General features: G+C 38.1%; 1 annotated feature.

Moving 5' to 3' along the window:
- Nucleotides 2,512-2,687: a silencer, noted in NCBI's record as "fragment chr4:181126772-181126947 (GRCh37/hg19 assembly coordinates)". NCBI's record gives its function as "represses an EF-1alpha promoter that drives an FKBP-Casp9 reporter gene in an ReSE screen in phorbol 12-myristate 13-acetate-treated (for megakaryocytic differentiation) K562 erythroleukemia cells {active_cell/tissue: K562(+PMA)}" and the evidence as "EXISTENCE:reporter gene assay evidence [ECO:0000049][PMID:32094911]".

The raw sequence follows: 14,219 nt of genomic DNA on the forward strand, positions 1-14,219 counted from the left end.
TCAGGGGACACATTTGTTTCTGCCAGAAAGGTTAACAAAACAACATCTCCTTGAGAGATGGACAGTGAAACACGTCTTTTTTTGGGGGTACTGTCTGAGTTGAGACCTCTTAGTCTTTGAGGATGGACCTTTATTGGAAATTTTTTTGATATTAGTTACTGTATACTAGATGCCAGAGACGTGAGTGGGAATGTGTGGCCTCTTCTCTCCAAAGTGTTAAATCAGGAAAAAAAAATCGTGGAATGAAGCAGATGATTGCAATAGCTTGTGATAAGTCCTTTCGTAGTGGGTGCTATGGAAAGAGACATGTGGGTTTGCGTGGTGTGTGGAGGGGGCAGGGGAGGTCTACACAGACTTTCTGGTGTGGAAGACTTCTGAGAAAAGAGTAGGAGGGAGGAGGAAGCGGGCCACAAGCAAAAAAAGCAGCATATGTAAGTGTGTGAAAGTGAGAGGGAAGCCCATGTGAGAATCCCACATGAGGTCATAGCATGAAGAGAGAAATGAGAGATGAGACCACAGTACAGCTAAGCTAAATAGTTTCAAGATTATCTTGAAGACTATGGAATATCATGGGATTACTTTAAGTAAGGGAATAAGATGCTTTTTTTTTTAATAGAAATTATTGAGATGGAGAGAGGAGCCAGAAATGAAACCCAAATTGCGACCTTAGGTGCTTAGATGGATGGTGGAGGGCAAAGCGGGGAATGCATACTTTTATTTCGTTGTCAAAATGAATGAAGATACCTATCTAAACCTAAGTGAAGTTCCGTCTAAATCTAACAGAAAGTTGTATATGTCATGGAAGTGGATGAGAAGCAAGTGGAGGAAAATAAAGACAGTAAGATAATCCTAGATTGGTTTAAAGAAAAAAAACTGGCAGGGTGTGGTTGCTCACACCTTGTAATCTTAGCACTTTGGGAGGCTGATGTGGGCTGATCACCTGAGGTCAGGAGTTCAAGACCAGCCTGGCCAACATGGTGAATCCCTGCATCTCCTGAAAATACAAAAATTAGCTGGGTGTGGTGGAGGGCACCTGTAATCTCAGCTACTTGGGAGGCTGAGGCAGGAGAATTGCTTGAAACCAGGAGGTGGAGGTTGGAGTGAGAGGAGATCACACCACTGCACTCCAGCCTGGGTGACAGAACGAGATTCCGTCTCAAAAAAAAACAAAAAACAAAAAAAAGACAAAAACTATTGAGGTACGATTACATGAGGTTGGTTTCTTTTTCAAACTAGGTCATTTTTAAATAATTTTTAATTATTATAGGTACATGATCATTGTATATATTTATGGGGTACATGTGATGTTTGATAGGGGCCTACAATGTGTAATGATCAAATCAGGGTAATTGGGGTATCCATCATCTTAAACATTTCTCATTTCTTTGTGTTAGGAACATTCCAGTTATACTCTTTTAGTTATTTAAAAATATACAACGCATTATTGTTAACTATGTTAACCCTATTGTGCTACCATATACTATATTTTATTTATTCTATCTAACTGAATTTTTGTACCAATTAATCACTCCCACTTTGTAACCCCGAACCTCTCTACACTTTCCAGGCTCTGGTAACTCTTATTATACTTCATCTTCATGATTTCAGTTTTTAAAAAATGTTTAGCTCCCACACAGGAGCGAGAAAATGTGAAATTTGTCTTTTGGTGCCTGGCTTATTTCAGTTAACATAGTTCCAATTCTATCCGTGTTGTTGCAGATAACAGGACTTCATTCTGTTTTATGGCTGAAGAATGTTTAAGATATCAGAATTAGTGTAGTCCTCGGTGCTGCTGGTAGGTTCAGGGCGGCACACGGGCGGAGGTGAGACAGGGGAGGAGAAAGCTTCATGGAGTTGGGTTGCGTTGAAAAATATCATGCCGCTGTGAGCTATTATTACCATGTGAATTGCCTTCCCGGACATTAACCTCACCTGGAATGATGACCTACTGTCTTCAATTTCACAGAGAGCGTAAGACATTTCCTCATACATTTTTTTGTTATATTCGGTTATTTATTAATCAAGCATGCTTGTGCACAAAGGGGTTCACACAGTATTCTGTGAAGAAGTTCAATACATAGAAAACTTGGTTTTATGATTAAATACAGCCAAACCAGCACTAGCATGGTTGCCCTGGCAGCACATATATTTCAAATTGAATTAAAGTTTCATAATATTTAGTTTGCATCTTTATTTCTGTAAACATAGCTCAATTGACACCCAAAGTGATGGCACTGGGGAGAACTAATGTGTGATTAGAAAGCAATGTCTAAAACAAATACCTAAGAAGCTAATAGAAGGCAGTCGGGCTTTTGTACCTAACAGTCTTTATTCTTGTCTGAGGACATCTGCACTCAGGTTCACAGTCAAGCCGATTATCTGTTCTCTAAATCACCATTTGAAAAGCTTTCTTTTGTCATTATAAATAAAAGTTGAGAAAGCAAATCACTTTTCTGGTATTCGAACATATGTCACTGCATCAAAAGAAGAAATATAGAATAAGTGAAAGAGTTGGGAATAGAAAGCCAAAACTAGATTGCACGCTAGCCTTGCCAGTGACCAAACCAGCAGTGTGAACGCATGGACACTCCATTATGTATCCTACAGAAATCCCACCTCCACAAGGTTTCTGTCATTTGCAGTTTGATCTTGACCAGACAAATATCCCTAAATAATCTGTAATTTTCTCATTGGTGAATGAAAACTGAATGGCAGGCCACATGTGGTCGTACGAATGTAACCTCCCAGTTGTCACAGTTGAAAATGCTTTATTAAGTTACTTCTTATAAAATACTTATTGCCATTTTCTTGTACATTAACCTTTTAAAATAATTGCTTGCTTCTGAGTTAAAATTACCATATTTAAGTTTAGAAAAGTTAAGCAAAAACGAAGTATTTACTTAGAAAATAATCAAGAATGTCAAATTAGAGAGAATATAATGAATGTACCCATATGTAGATAAATATATGCATACATACATATATAAAATAATGTTGATGTGCATCAACCAACATGTGCTTGTATTTCTTTATAAAATTACGTAAATATCTGCTAACATTTATTTAGTTATATTACCCATTTTATTAGTCCAGGAATCCAATCTGGCCAAAAGTTGAAGCTCTAAGATTATGTAATGTAGCTGTGTTCTGTGAATACATAGAATTTATTATTGAGATTTTGTATTAACTGTGAATTGAGCTTTATAAATTCTCACATACTTGATTTGCTAAAGCGTTCATCTTAATGGCTTTGAGTCAAAAAAAAAATGCATGTTTAATACTTGCAGAAATACTAAAATAGCTGGAAGAAAACTTGGTTTTAAGAAGCTAGCACTGAAAATTATATTTTATTTCATTAGCATAAGTGGGATATTGACAGTCTCTCACAAGAAGAGAAAACATAGTTGCCTTTTTTGTCATTTTAAGAAAGATTTTACAAGCCAACTCAATGGAAAGGTGATATCCAGGCATATATTGCTAATCATAGTTAAATACTTTTAACAAAACATGCCCTTAGTTTGGGGTAAGTTAAACCAACGATTGCTTTTTATGAGACTGTGAATATATTCATTTAATTGCATCAAGTGAATCTGTACTTTCAACCAGGCATTTTTTTATACAAACTTCTTAATCAAATTTTAAGTGTGTATTCAAATTAAGGGAATCAATAAGCAGTGTTTCATATATTCTTATGCAAATGTCATTTTTATGTCATTACTTAGCATTCATATGAAAATGTCTTTATATTTACAAAATATTTGTGTATTAGTATAAATACATGGAGATATATATATATATATATATATATAGTATATCTGTTATCTAGCATTATGACATCTAATTGGAAGGATTCGGAGAACTCATTTATTTGAAAGATTCCTCAGCGTAAAAGAGACTAGTTATCAATTATTAAAATACATTATCAGAGAAATGACAAACCACAAATTAAATACTGATTGTTGGAAAACATAAAAAGTATGCTAAAAACCATGTGTCACCAATAGACATATTTACTTTCTGATTTAATTAAGATGCACCTTTAAGTTATATAGAGTAAGCTGTGCTTTAGAAAGAGCAATTTAGTTTTTTATCTACTTATTTAATGAAATAATATTTATATAATATTTATTTATGTTGAGAATGGAGAACATATTTTAAAATAATTCAATGGAATTAAATTTATTATACAACCACAGGCAGTATGCTGTCTGAAATAGATTATTTCTAGTATTAAATATGACAATACAATTATTCTTAGATCACTCTGGTCATTTTCATACAGATATACTCACTATAGCATGGTTTCTGAAAAAAAAGACTCTTGAAACATTTCCACAAGTAGAAGCTATCATGTACTGAGTGTCATTATGACATAGCCCAAGGAAGTAATTACTTTCAATGCATCTACTTGAGGAAAATATGACACAGATAGAATGAATAATTTAACTAACAATTCAACTAAAATTCCACAGCTAATAATATTTTATTGTAATTTTTGTATATAATTAAGTAGTCCTGATTCAGACAGTCAATAACTTAATGTAAACAGAGTAAAACAAGTTTGTTCAGTTAGTGGAAAGAATAAGGAACAATGGAGCAATCTGCATATGTCCACTTCTTGGTATTTAGTTTAATCCTTATTAGTTTCCTGAAATGTTGTTTCTAAAGGAAAACTACACATCTAGAAAGGTATCTTGGTATTAGACCTATGCAAACTAAGTTAAAACTACTGTGAAATTTTGCTTTTCTTTAGTATGTACTTATCTCTGCAATATATTGCTCTTTGGAGCAGCTCAATTCTGCATTTCTCTGTATACTGGTGTCTCCATGGGTGATAATTAACATTCTTAACCTTAGACACTGAAAAATGCCTTCTCTTTCCAAACAACAAGCATTGTTTGACATTTAGGTTTGTTTAAAGAGGAAAGATTGTGATATGTAATAGTGTAAACATGTAATAGTGAAGATACCTTCAGTTTTTTAGAAAGACAACTTCAAACTAGAGATAAATAAAGAAAAGCCCTACTGATGATGTGCCAGTTACTGTTCTGTTTACAGACTGTGTTAGAAAAATAAGCTGAAAAATAAAGCCAAGTCATTTAAAACTAATAAAACAATAATGTGACCACATGATTATTATGTGTGGGAAGCAAATCTTCCTACACTCAGCTTGACAAATCCACCAAAAAAAAAGACATAGCGAAATATCAAACTATGAGATAAGAAATGAAACATCCTACATACATTTATATTATCATAATTATAAAGTTAATATCTACTTATGGTATTATACAGTTATTTAAATATGTATATCATATGATATATAGATAGACTAAACGTTACATATGTGTATATATTATATTAGTTAGGGATAAATTTTCTAAAATTAATTTTTATTTAGTTCAGGACTAGACTTAAATTACAAAAGAAAATCTGTTTTTTCATATGATGTGATATCAGAGATACTAGAAATACTCAGTGTTTCCACAAATCCTTACACATTCGCTAAATGATGCAAGCAAATTCAGCAGAGGTGATATATATTTTTTTTCTTAAGAATTTGAAAGCCCTTAAATGTAGAAAACTGATGTCAACAAAATATGTCACTAGTAGTGATTGGCTGCCATTAATATGAGTGGTTGTGACTTGGAAGATATACTGTATCCCTCCTTGGAATTCAAAGTTTAGTATGCTAGGGAACTGGAGAAGTGCTGGAAATCTGATTTTGCTAAAAGTGCCCAAATCAAAGCCTTGTCTCCATCACAGTTTTGGCAAGGGTTATTCCTGATAAAATGGAATAAACTGATACTTTCGTTGTTATGTCAGCTGATAGACTCAAATAATTTCAAATGCAGAATATAGAGTAAAACTCCTTGTGATATCCTTTGATAATCATATGGTAAATAGTTAATTTTTATTTAACTCATGGATTAATGCCTCGCCATGAGCCAAGCAAAAGACAACTGAGTCATAGGCAATCATAGGATGACTTAAATCATGATTATTAAGACAATCAGAATGGATTACTAATTGTAAAAATATATTAACTGTGTGACATGTAAAATAAAACTGTGATGGTCTGGGCAATATTTTAGTGCAAAATATGATTTGATTAGAATTATCTTAGTCATATATTTGCCTTGTTTCCTAGGCAACCATCAAGGTTTCATATGGATATAATAGCATTTCCCAAAGCAAGTTCTGTGCAGCCTTGGTGGGGAGTGCTAGGAAAGAAAAGACTGGCAGGAATTGTGGTATGCCCCCTGAAAACCTGTGGCTCCCTGCCAAGAAACAGCACCCTTAGGTCATACATGCTTAGTAAACAATATTTTTCCTTCCTGGTTTTAAGAGTCTCAGAAGGCTTGTGCCACTAAAATCTATTGTAATTTGTTGAACCCAGTGCTTTCCAAACTTAACTTGACTTTGATAATTCTTTTTAAAGTAACACATTTTAATTTCCATGAACTATACTTTGGGAAATGCTGTAATAGAGTTAACCCTACAATAGATAAACCAAATTAGTGCATAATACTAAGATTTTTTTCAAGAGCTTCATTTTATATTTTAACTATGTCTTTTTGTGAAGAGGCAGTCAATAGCTGACTTTCCTAGATCTTCAACAAAATGAATCATGCTTGGTTTACAACCATCACCAGTACCTAGAGTGTGTGATTTCTATAGCATATCCTAGAACTTGCTCTCAAATACCATCTAAATCCTTCTATATTAGCTGACACTTTCAGTACTCACTATGTTTGGAGATTGTTCTTCTCCCTTGGGTGTCACTTATTGCCTAGCTACTGTGTGCCTATATTGCAAAGCTTTCCCTGCCAGGGTCACACAGACCCTGCAAGGAAGGGTATTATTTTACTTTTGCAAAAATAAGAACACTAGCTTACAGTAACTTAACTTGCTCGTGATCACTGAGAGGCAGACTTGAATGAACTGGATCCTGTTTTCTGGGCCACAGTGATACACCGTTCAATGGCCCTATTCATGCTGCAGTCCAGGCTCAAGGAACCCCGGAGTAGAGACTGCAATTCAGTTCTGAACTCATGTTCTCAGGCTTTACTTCTAGGCTGTGAACTTCTCAAGGGCAGGGACACTATTCAGTGTGATGTCGCCACTGTCTATAATAGTGCTTTGCAGTTCTTAGGAGGTGCTTGATAAAAGTTGAATTAAATTGACTACTTTGATTCTTATGTATTTAGTGGAAGATTACTGTGTTTTATTGGAAAGTGGACTGAGATTCAACAAAAGCAATGTATAAATGTATCTTAAGTTAGGAATTAACTCATCTATATCATACCAATTTATTTTCTTACACTTGACTGTCATTTACAGAAGTTGATATTTGAATAAGCCTTTTGTAGGCTGAGGTGGTAGACTAATAAATCTGGAAATATCTCAGAAAATAGAGTCTGGTGTTTATAGGATAGGCTTTGTATCTAGATGCTTAAGCAGTGACAAGTTCACAATTTTAAAAAATGATTAGGATCTTATATCAGAGGTAAGAGACTTAAAATTTTAGTTGAGGTACATAGCTAGTACTTTTTCTCTGGGGATGTTTGTCTAATAGGGTTAACTCTCTTTGTATAGAATGCCTGATGAGTTTATTAAGTAATCTGAAAGGATTATGCTATTAGTGAGAAACCAATATGCTCATGGAGATAGAATGAAATCCATACAATAGTTAGTTAACAATACAAAAATATTTAATCATTCTTTTCTTTGCCCTGAAGACTTAAAACTAAGAAGATTATTCGAATGGTGAATTAACTTGTTGAAGAGGCTATTCCAAAGGGATAGAATGAGACTAATTTCTGACTATGTTTTGCTAGTGATGGGTGGATGGGAACAAACATTACAAGAAATAGCATAATGAATGTAGAAAATATTTCAGTTTGGAGATGTGCATGAATTAGTTTCCTAGGTTTGCCACAACAAAGCATCCCAAACTGGTGGCTTAAAAAACAGAAATTTGTTTCATGGTTCTTGAGCCTAGAAGGTCAAAATCAAGGTGTTGGCAGGACCATGCTCTCTCTGAAACTCTAAGGGAGAAGCGTTCTTTGTTTCTTCCTAACTCTGATGGCGGCCAGCAAGCCTTGTTGCTCTTGGCTTACAGTTGTGGTGCTCCAGTTCCTGCCTCTGTGGTCACACGGGCTTTGTCTGCATCCCCATGTGATATCCATAAATTTCCTAAAAGCGTTAGATGTCCTTTTTTTTGTTTGTTTGTAGTACAGAATAAAACTCTTAAGCAACTTGTTTCCAAAAGATTATTCCTTGAAAGTAGAGTTAAGACATAAAAGTTTTTCTATGAAACTACTAGAAGAAAACATAGAGGCAATGTTTCAGAATGTTGATCTAGGCAAATATTTTATGGTTAAGATTTCAAAAGCATAAGTCAATAAAGACAAAAATAGACAAATGGGATTGTATTCAATTAAAAAGCCTCTGCACATCAAAGGAAATAATCAACTGAGTGAGGAGAAAACCTACAGAATGAGAGAAGATATCTGTAAAATACTCATCTGAAAAAAGACAGATATCTAGAATATACAAGGAACTCAAACAATTCAATAGCAACAAACCCAAGTAAATCCATTAAAAAGGGAAGAAAACTATGGCTAGGTCATACTCATACCTTGTAGGATATTGTGCGCTGCGATTTAGATAACAGTGTCCTTTAAATTAGTAAGTCCATTTCTAAAACTGATATGACACATCTCTCCAAAGATTCTTGATAGAAAAAAAATAAGAGTGAAAAGGTTCAAAGAATCCAGTAAAATTATAGATGCTGTTGTATGTGTGTGGTAACAAAAGGAAGTGAAGTTGGGCCTACCTAATAAAACTATAATTGAATGAAAGGGTATTGGTGGGCTTATGAACAAATTTAGGAATGGTGGAATGCAAGGATGAAACCCAGGTGCCTGGGTATATAACACTTTCTGGAAAACTGAAATATCCCAGTCATTGCCACTACTGTCTCAACAATCACCGTGTACCTTACAGCAAATATCCTTAGCTCATTCGTGGCCTAATTGAGGTTACACACACATGCCACAGCAAAAGAAGGCTCTAGCCCCCATGCCTTCCGTAGTGGAAAGGCGTTCCAGAAATAGCTTTTATGTCAAGGCTACACACAGGGCAGTGATCACCAACCCCCCCAAAAAATGTAAGGTGCCATTAGGAGGAGAAATGATGCGAGATATCCACTGTATACTAACAGGAGTGATGCCAGAAAGGATTAATAATTTGGGGAGTGGAATGATTTTATGAGATGATAACTTTGCTAAAAATATGAGTCAGGTTTCTGCGTAAATCAGGTAAAGCAGCTACCCTTATTTGCAGACATCCTGAGAATGCAATATGATGAGCAACTTCTGTTTCCCCAATCCTTGCTGAAGGTAAATAAGATTTATTGTTGCCAAAACTCTTCAATCTACAAAATATTTTTTTCTTTATAAAATGCTTTTGGTCTCTTGTTTCATGTCTATATATTTTCTAAGCCCTCTTCTTCTCCCATTGCATGGCTGTCCTCACCCTCACTCTTACCTTTGTTTTGCTGTTTGCAGGACCTCCTGGTCTCTGTCAGAAAAGACTTGTAACTTTCCAAATGAAATGTTGCAACTTCCTATTTTTCTGAAATCTATTTACTAAATGTTATGCAAGACATGAAATTTTTGCCTACTTTATTCCACCATCATTTGTTTTATGAAACAAACAAACAAAAAAATCTCTAAACCTAACCCAAGTAGAAGATGCTTAACTTTAAGGAAACACTAGGCAACAGGCAGTATCATGGGGTGTCACAGGATATGAACAATGGAAAGGTCTCTTGGAAACTGGAGGAGGTGCTACTGGGAACTAGCAGTGCTCTCTCCATCTCTCAGGGCCCAACCCACATGGTTTCCAGTTTCTTTGATTCTCTCTGTCTCCTCTTTTATTCTGCTGCTGCTGCTTGGTCAGTCCTGAATCAAAGAGCCCTTGAAGGCCTTTTCATACCATGGATTAGTTAACGAACTTTCTCTCTTATAGAACATGAAGGATGTATCACTGGATAGCTAATTGGCCAATTACCTGTCCTTGTTTAAGTATCTTTGTCAAGGTAGGCAAGGAAGGCAGACAACGCTGAACGCATAGGCCATGTGATGTGGATCGAATACGGCAGCTGCACAGGCCTCTCCCATCTCAGATTGTGAAATGATTAATTAATATTTTCAGTTAGTAAAAGAAACTGGGGTCAGCAACTCTATGTGTGTGTGTGTGTGTGTGTGTGTATCTGTGTGGGGGTTTATATTCACAAATATCTGTATATTTGATTAGAAAACCCACAGAGAGATCAAGGGCTCTCTATATCCTGCTAAGTTCTGAAGGATTCCCCCATAATGTGCCCCCACCTACTCACTACCCTATCCTCCAATGTCATAACTGCAATAGAGATCCACTTCCATCTGCTCGAGGCTATTTAGTAGTTCAATAATAAACAAGGTTGTTGTTTAGAGAAAAAGAACCAGTGTTCCCCTGCCATTTTTTTCAAACTTTCACTTTACTTGTTCTGTCTTATTAGATCTAGTTACCCATAGGACCTTTCCTATAATAAAGCAAACAGTTACTGCTAATTATATTTCAGGACTTGTAAGGAACACTAAAAATATAAAGACATATATGCCATTATATCTACTTGCAGAGTATTTATAGTCTTTAGAGGGGAACAGAGAAGTAAATTAAAAACTAAAGGGTGGTGACATAAATACTATAAGAAAGAGAAATAAGGATGCAATAGGAAACCCTGAAATCAGGTTTTTTTCTGACTTACCTCAGTTGACTAGCCCAGCACATTAGATCCACCCTCCCCTTTTCCAGCTCCTGAAGCTTACTTCAAACAAAACCTGTCTCACCTCCTCTCAGTCCCAAGACTCAGATCCATTTTCACACCTATGGACTATTTAGTTTTGATGAGAGTAAATAGCTTCTTCATACTGTAACTATTTTACCTGATATCTTCAAATGTATTAACATTCCTTTATCCTGTAGTTATACAGTTGATGGTATTTCTTACATAACATTGTATTTCTGGTACACCTTCTTGGTTTTAAGAAGTATTGCTACATTCATCATACTATGTGCTTGAGTTTTATTCATCTCCCTGTTGATGATTCCAGAAATGCAGGTTGATGTATCACACAAATAGCCCCTCTAACTATAGTTCTCATAATAGACAACAGTTAAATATTTTTGTCACTCCTTAAAGCACTTTCTTAGAACAATGCCAACTAATATGAGGCACAGAAGTGCATCAGTCATTACTGCTTTTGTTCACATATGCAATCTGTCATCACCAGCTTCTTTGCCTCTGCTTACAAAAATACTAAGTATTTCTCAACACTAAAGAAACACAAATTCAAAATTTTTCCGAAGTTATCTTGCTCCCACAAGGATATCCCTGCCTTTAAGGGCTAACTTCTCAGATTACACTCACTACCTCTACTTCCTTACACTTACACCTTACGTCTTGAAACTTCACTTTGAATAATTTTGTAGTAGGGTTCCACGAACGACCAGCTCCTTCTTAAAACCTGCTTTTATATTCATCCCTTGGGGCTGGGCGTGGAGGGGCAGAAGAAAAAGTCAGATGTGGGTTCACATTCTAGCTCTGCTACTTCCTGAGGATCCTTTGTCACAGTGGCAGACCATAAAATCGGATTAATAATGCTTACTCCTTAAAATAATTTACAAAATTAAAGGAGAAATCAGTTGTGCAAATCTGTCTCTTTTTTTGCCCTTTCAGTTTATTTTATTTTTATATTTTTTAACATTTAAAGATATTTATTTGAAAAATAATACCTTACAATCCTAGTCCTATCAATCAAACTTCAATAAGAGCAATTTTAGCATCAACTAACAGTAGCTAAACTAACAACAGATCAACTGAAAGTGTTTTAAAGGGAGCAGAACCAGCTGATGTTCTGTAGAGTCCATGGACATTCAGGACCTGGCTACAAGGAAAGCAAAGCCAAACCGGCAGGTGGTCTGGAGAGAAGCCCTCATACCCACACCGTGACCAGCTTCCCTCCTGGTGGCCCTAGCGGCCCATGAACCCCCTGTGGGGTTCTGGGCCCCTGTGGGCTGTGGGTCAAACCCCAGAATCCAAAGGGCCACTCAGGAAAGGCTAGAACTTGGAACTCAGTCATCTGGCTTCTGCGTGTTGTGGTCATTTTCTTTCTGGAGCACCTGGAGCACTCTCTTGGTGGACATTGTGGCCATCCAGCCTTCCTGGGCCATTTTCTCATGGAAGAAGATCTCCCTATGAAAATTGGAAGCGTCTTCCTTCAATTCCTGGGCCAGGTCTTCTTGTAGTGGTTCTGCGCCATTTTCTTGTAGTAGTTGCGGGTGTAACACACACGTTTCAAATTTTTTTGCACCTTGAAAAGTCTCTGGTTGAGGTGCAGGCAGTGGGCGTCCTCCTCCGTGGACTCCTGCTGAGGCCCCATTGTGGGTTCTTGGTGCAGTGCAGGTGGAGTGGGATCCTCAGCTGCAGCTTCAGGAGCTCCTTCTCCAGCTGTGTCCTTGCACCCTGCAGAGAGCCCTGCTGGTCCAGTCAGACTTTGGACTTGTGCTGTGACTTCTTTCCTCCTTTGGATTTCTTTTCACAACTGCATGTCTGCTTCTTCAGTCTCCCCCTCAGGACATTCGAGGGACACATCTAAGTCACCATCATCATCCACACTCTTTGGAGGGTCTTGTGGCCAGGACACTGGGGAACCACCATGTCCCGCTTCCCTGTTCCCCTCCACTGCCGAGTTACCATCCTCACATGATCTCCCACCCTCAAGCAGATGCAGGATGCTCGGCGGGGTGTGGCCCGGGGAGGTCAATCACCTCACTTCAACATTCGTGGTCTGCTTAATTCCAGTCTTGGCCTGCTCCTGCCTTTCCTTCTTCGCCTTTTTTCTGGCAAACGTTGCTTTCATCTCACAATTTCTTGGTGGGGCAGCTCTGCAGGTGGCTGACAGTCCGTGCTGTCCTTCAGATCCTCCGCAGTTTGCCCCTGAAGATCTTCTCCCTCGTGCTGTGAAACATGCGGGACCCGCTTTGTTCAGTCACTCGGGGAAGTTCAGGAGATTTGTGTTTTTGTGCTTTTTTCAGAGGCACCCCGAAGTCCTGATGGGAAGACTTGCTTATTTCCTTGAGAACCCTTGAGTAGAGGGTTTGGAGTGATCGAGGACTGGCCTGCGGCATGGGCAATATGAGGCCACCACCACCCTGGGGTGCTGGCTGAATCTTGACTCTGGCCTTGATGATCTCACCCTGGGCCGACTCCCTTTGGGCTGGCTCTTCCCTTCTTCTCACCGCATGTCGTCTCCTGACTATAAAGGCCGCCACAACAGTGCACGACCGTATCACCCAGGATATCCATAGTTTGCAGGCATTAGTCCCAGGATTCTCTACATCACTAGCACTGTCACCCACATGTGGGCCAGCAGCAGCTCAGAAGGCATTTCGTGGTGGGAAGCAGGCCCTCCGTGGCTCCCGAGAGCTCTGCAGCTCTGCCTCTCCTTGCCAGTGGCGTGTGGGCCACAGCTGACCACTGGGAACTCTGCAGAGTGTTCCGTCTCCAACACAAGAAATGGCCCACCAACAAGGTAGACCATCCATCTGCTGGGGATAGGGAAGGTATCCTGTGTTCCAGAAAACTGTGTCCCTGATTTTGCTGTGCAAATAGAAAGTGATATTACTTATGCAATGCCTTGGGGAAGTGGAAAGAGCTCATGGCAGCCCCTAGCTCAAGCCACTCCAGATCCTACCAGGCCCTAAAGCAGAGCTAGAGAGTCAAAGCAGGGCCACGCCATGGTCCTGAGTCCACACATGATCCTCTCAAGGCAACATGGTGGCCCATCCCAGGTGAGGCTCATGACCGTGATTTCATGTTTCCTTCTGCTGCAGGGAAGCCTGGTCCTACTTGCAAAAAGTCTGTCTACCTTGCTAGATTGAGCTGCCTGAAGAAAGGACTCTGTTTTCTTCATCTCCATATCCCTTGTATCTAGCTAATGCTCACTACACACCAGGGACTGGGTCATTGTTTATCTTATTTTTTTGTTGACTCTACTCTGACTTAGGACGTGCCACTTTCCCTCTTGACCTCCATATTCAGATCTGTACATAAGAGGAAGTGGGTAAAGTTCCCTCTAGCTTTAAAACTCCTCCAATACAGAGAG

This window comes from Homo sapiens, chromosome 4, assembly GCF_000001405.40.
Source record: "Homo sapiens chromosome 4, GRCh38.p14 Primary Assembly".
Taxonomy (NCBI): Eukaryota; Metazoa; Chordata; class Mammalia; order Primates; family Hominidae; genus Homo; species Homo sapiens.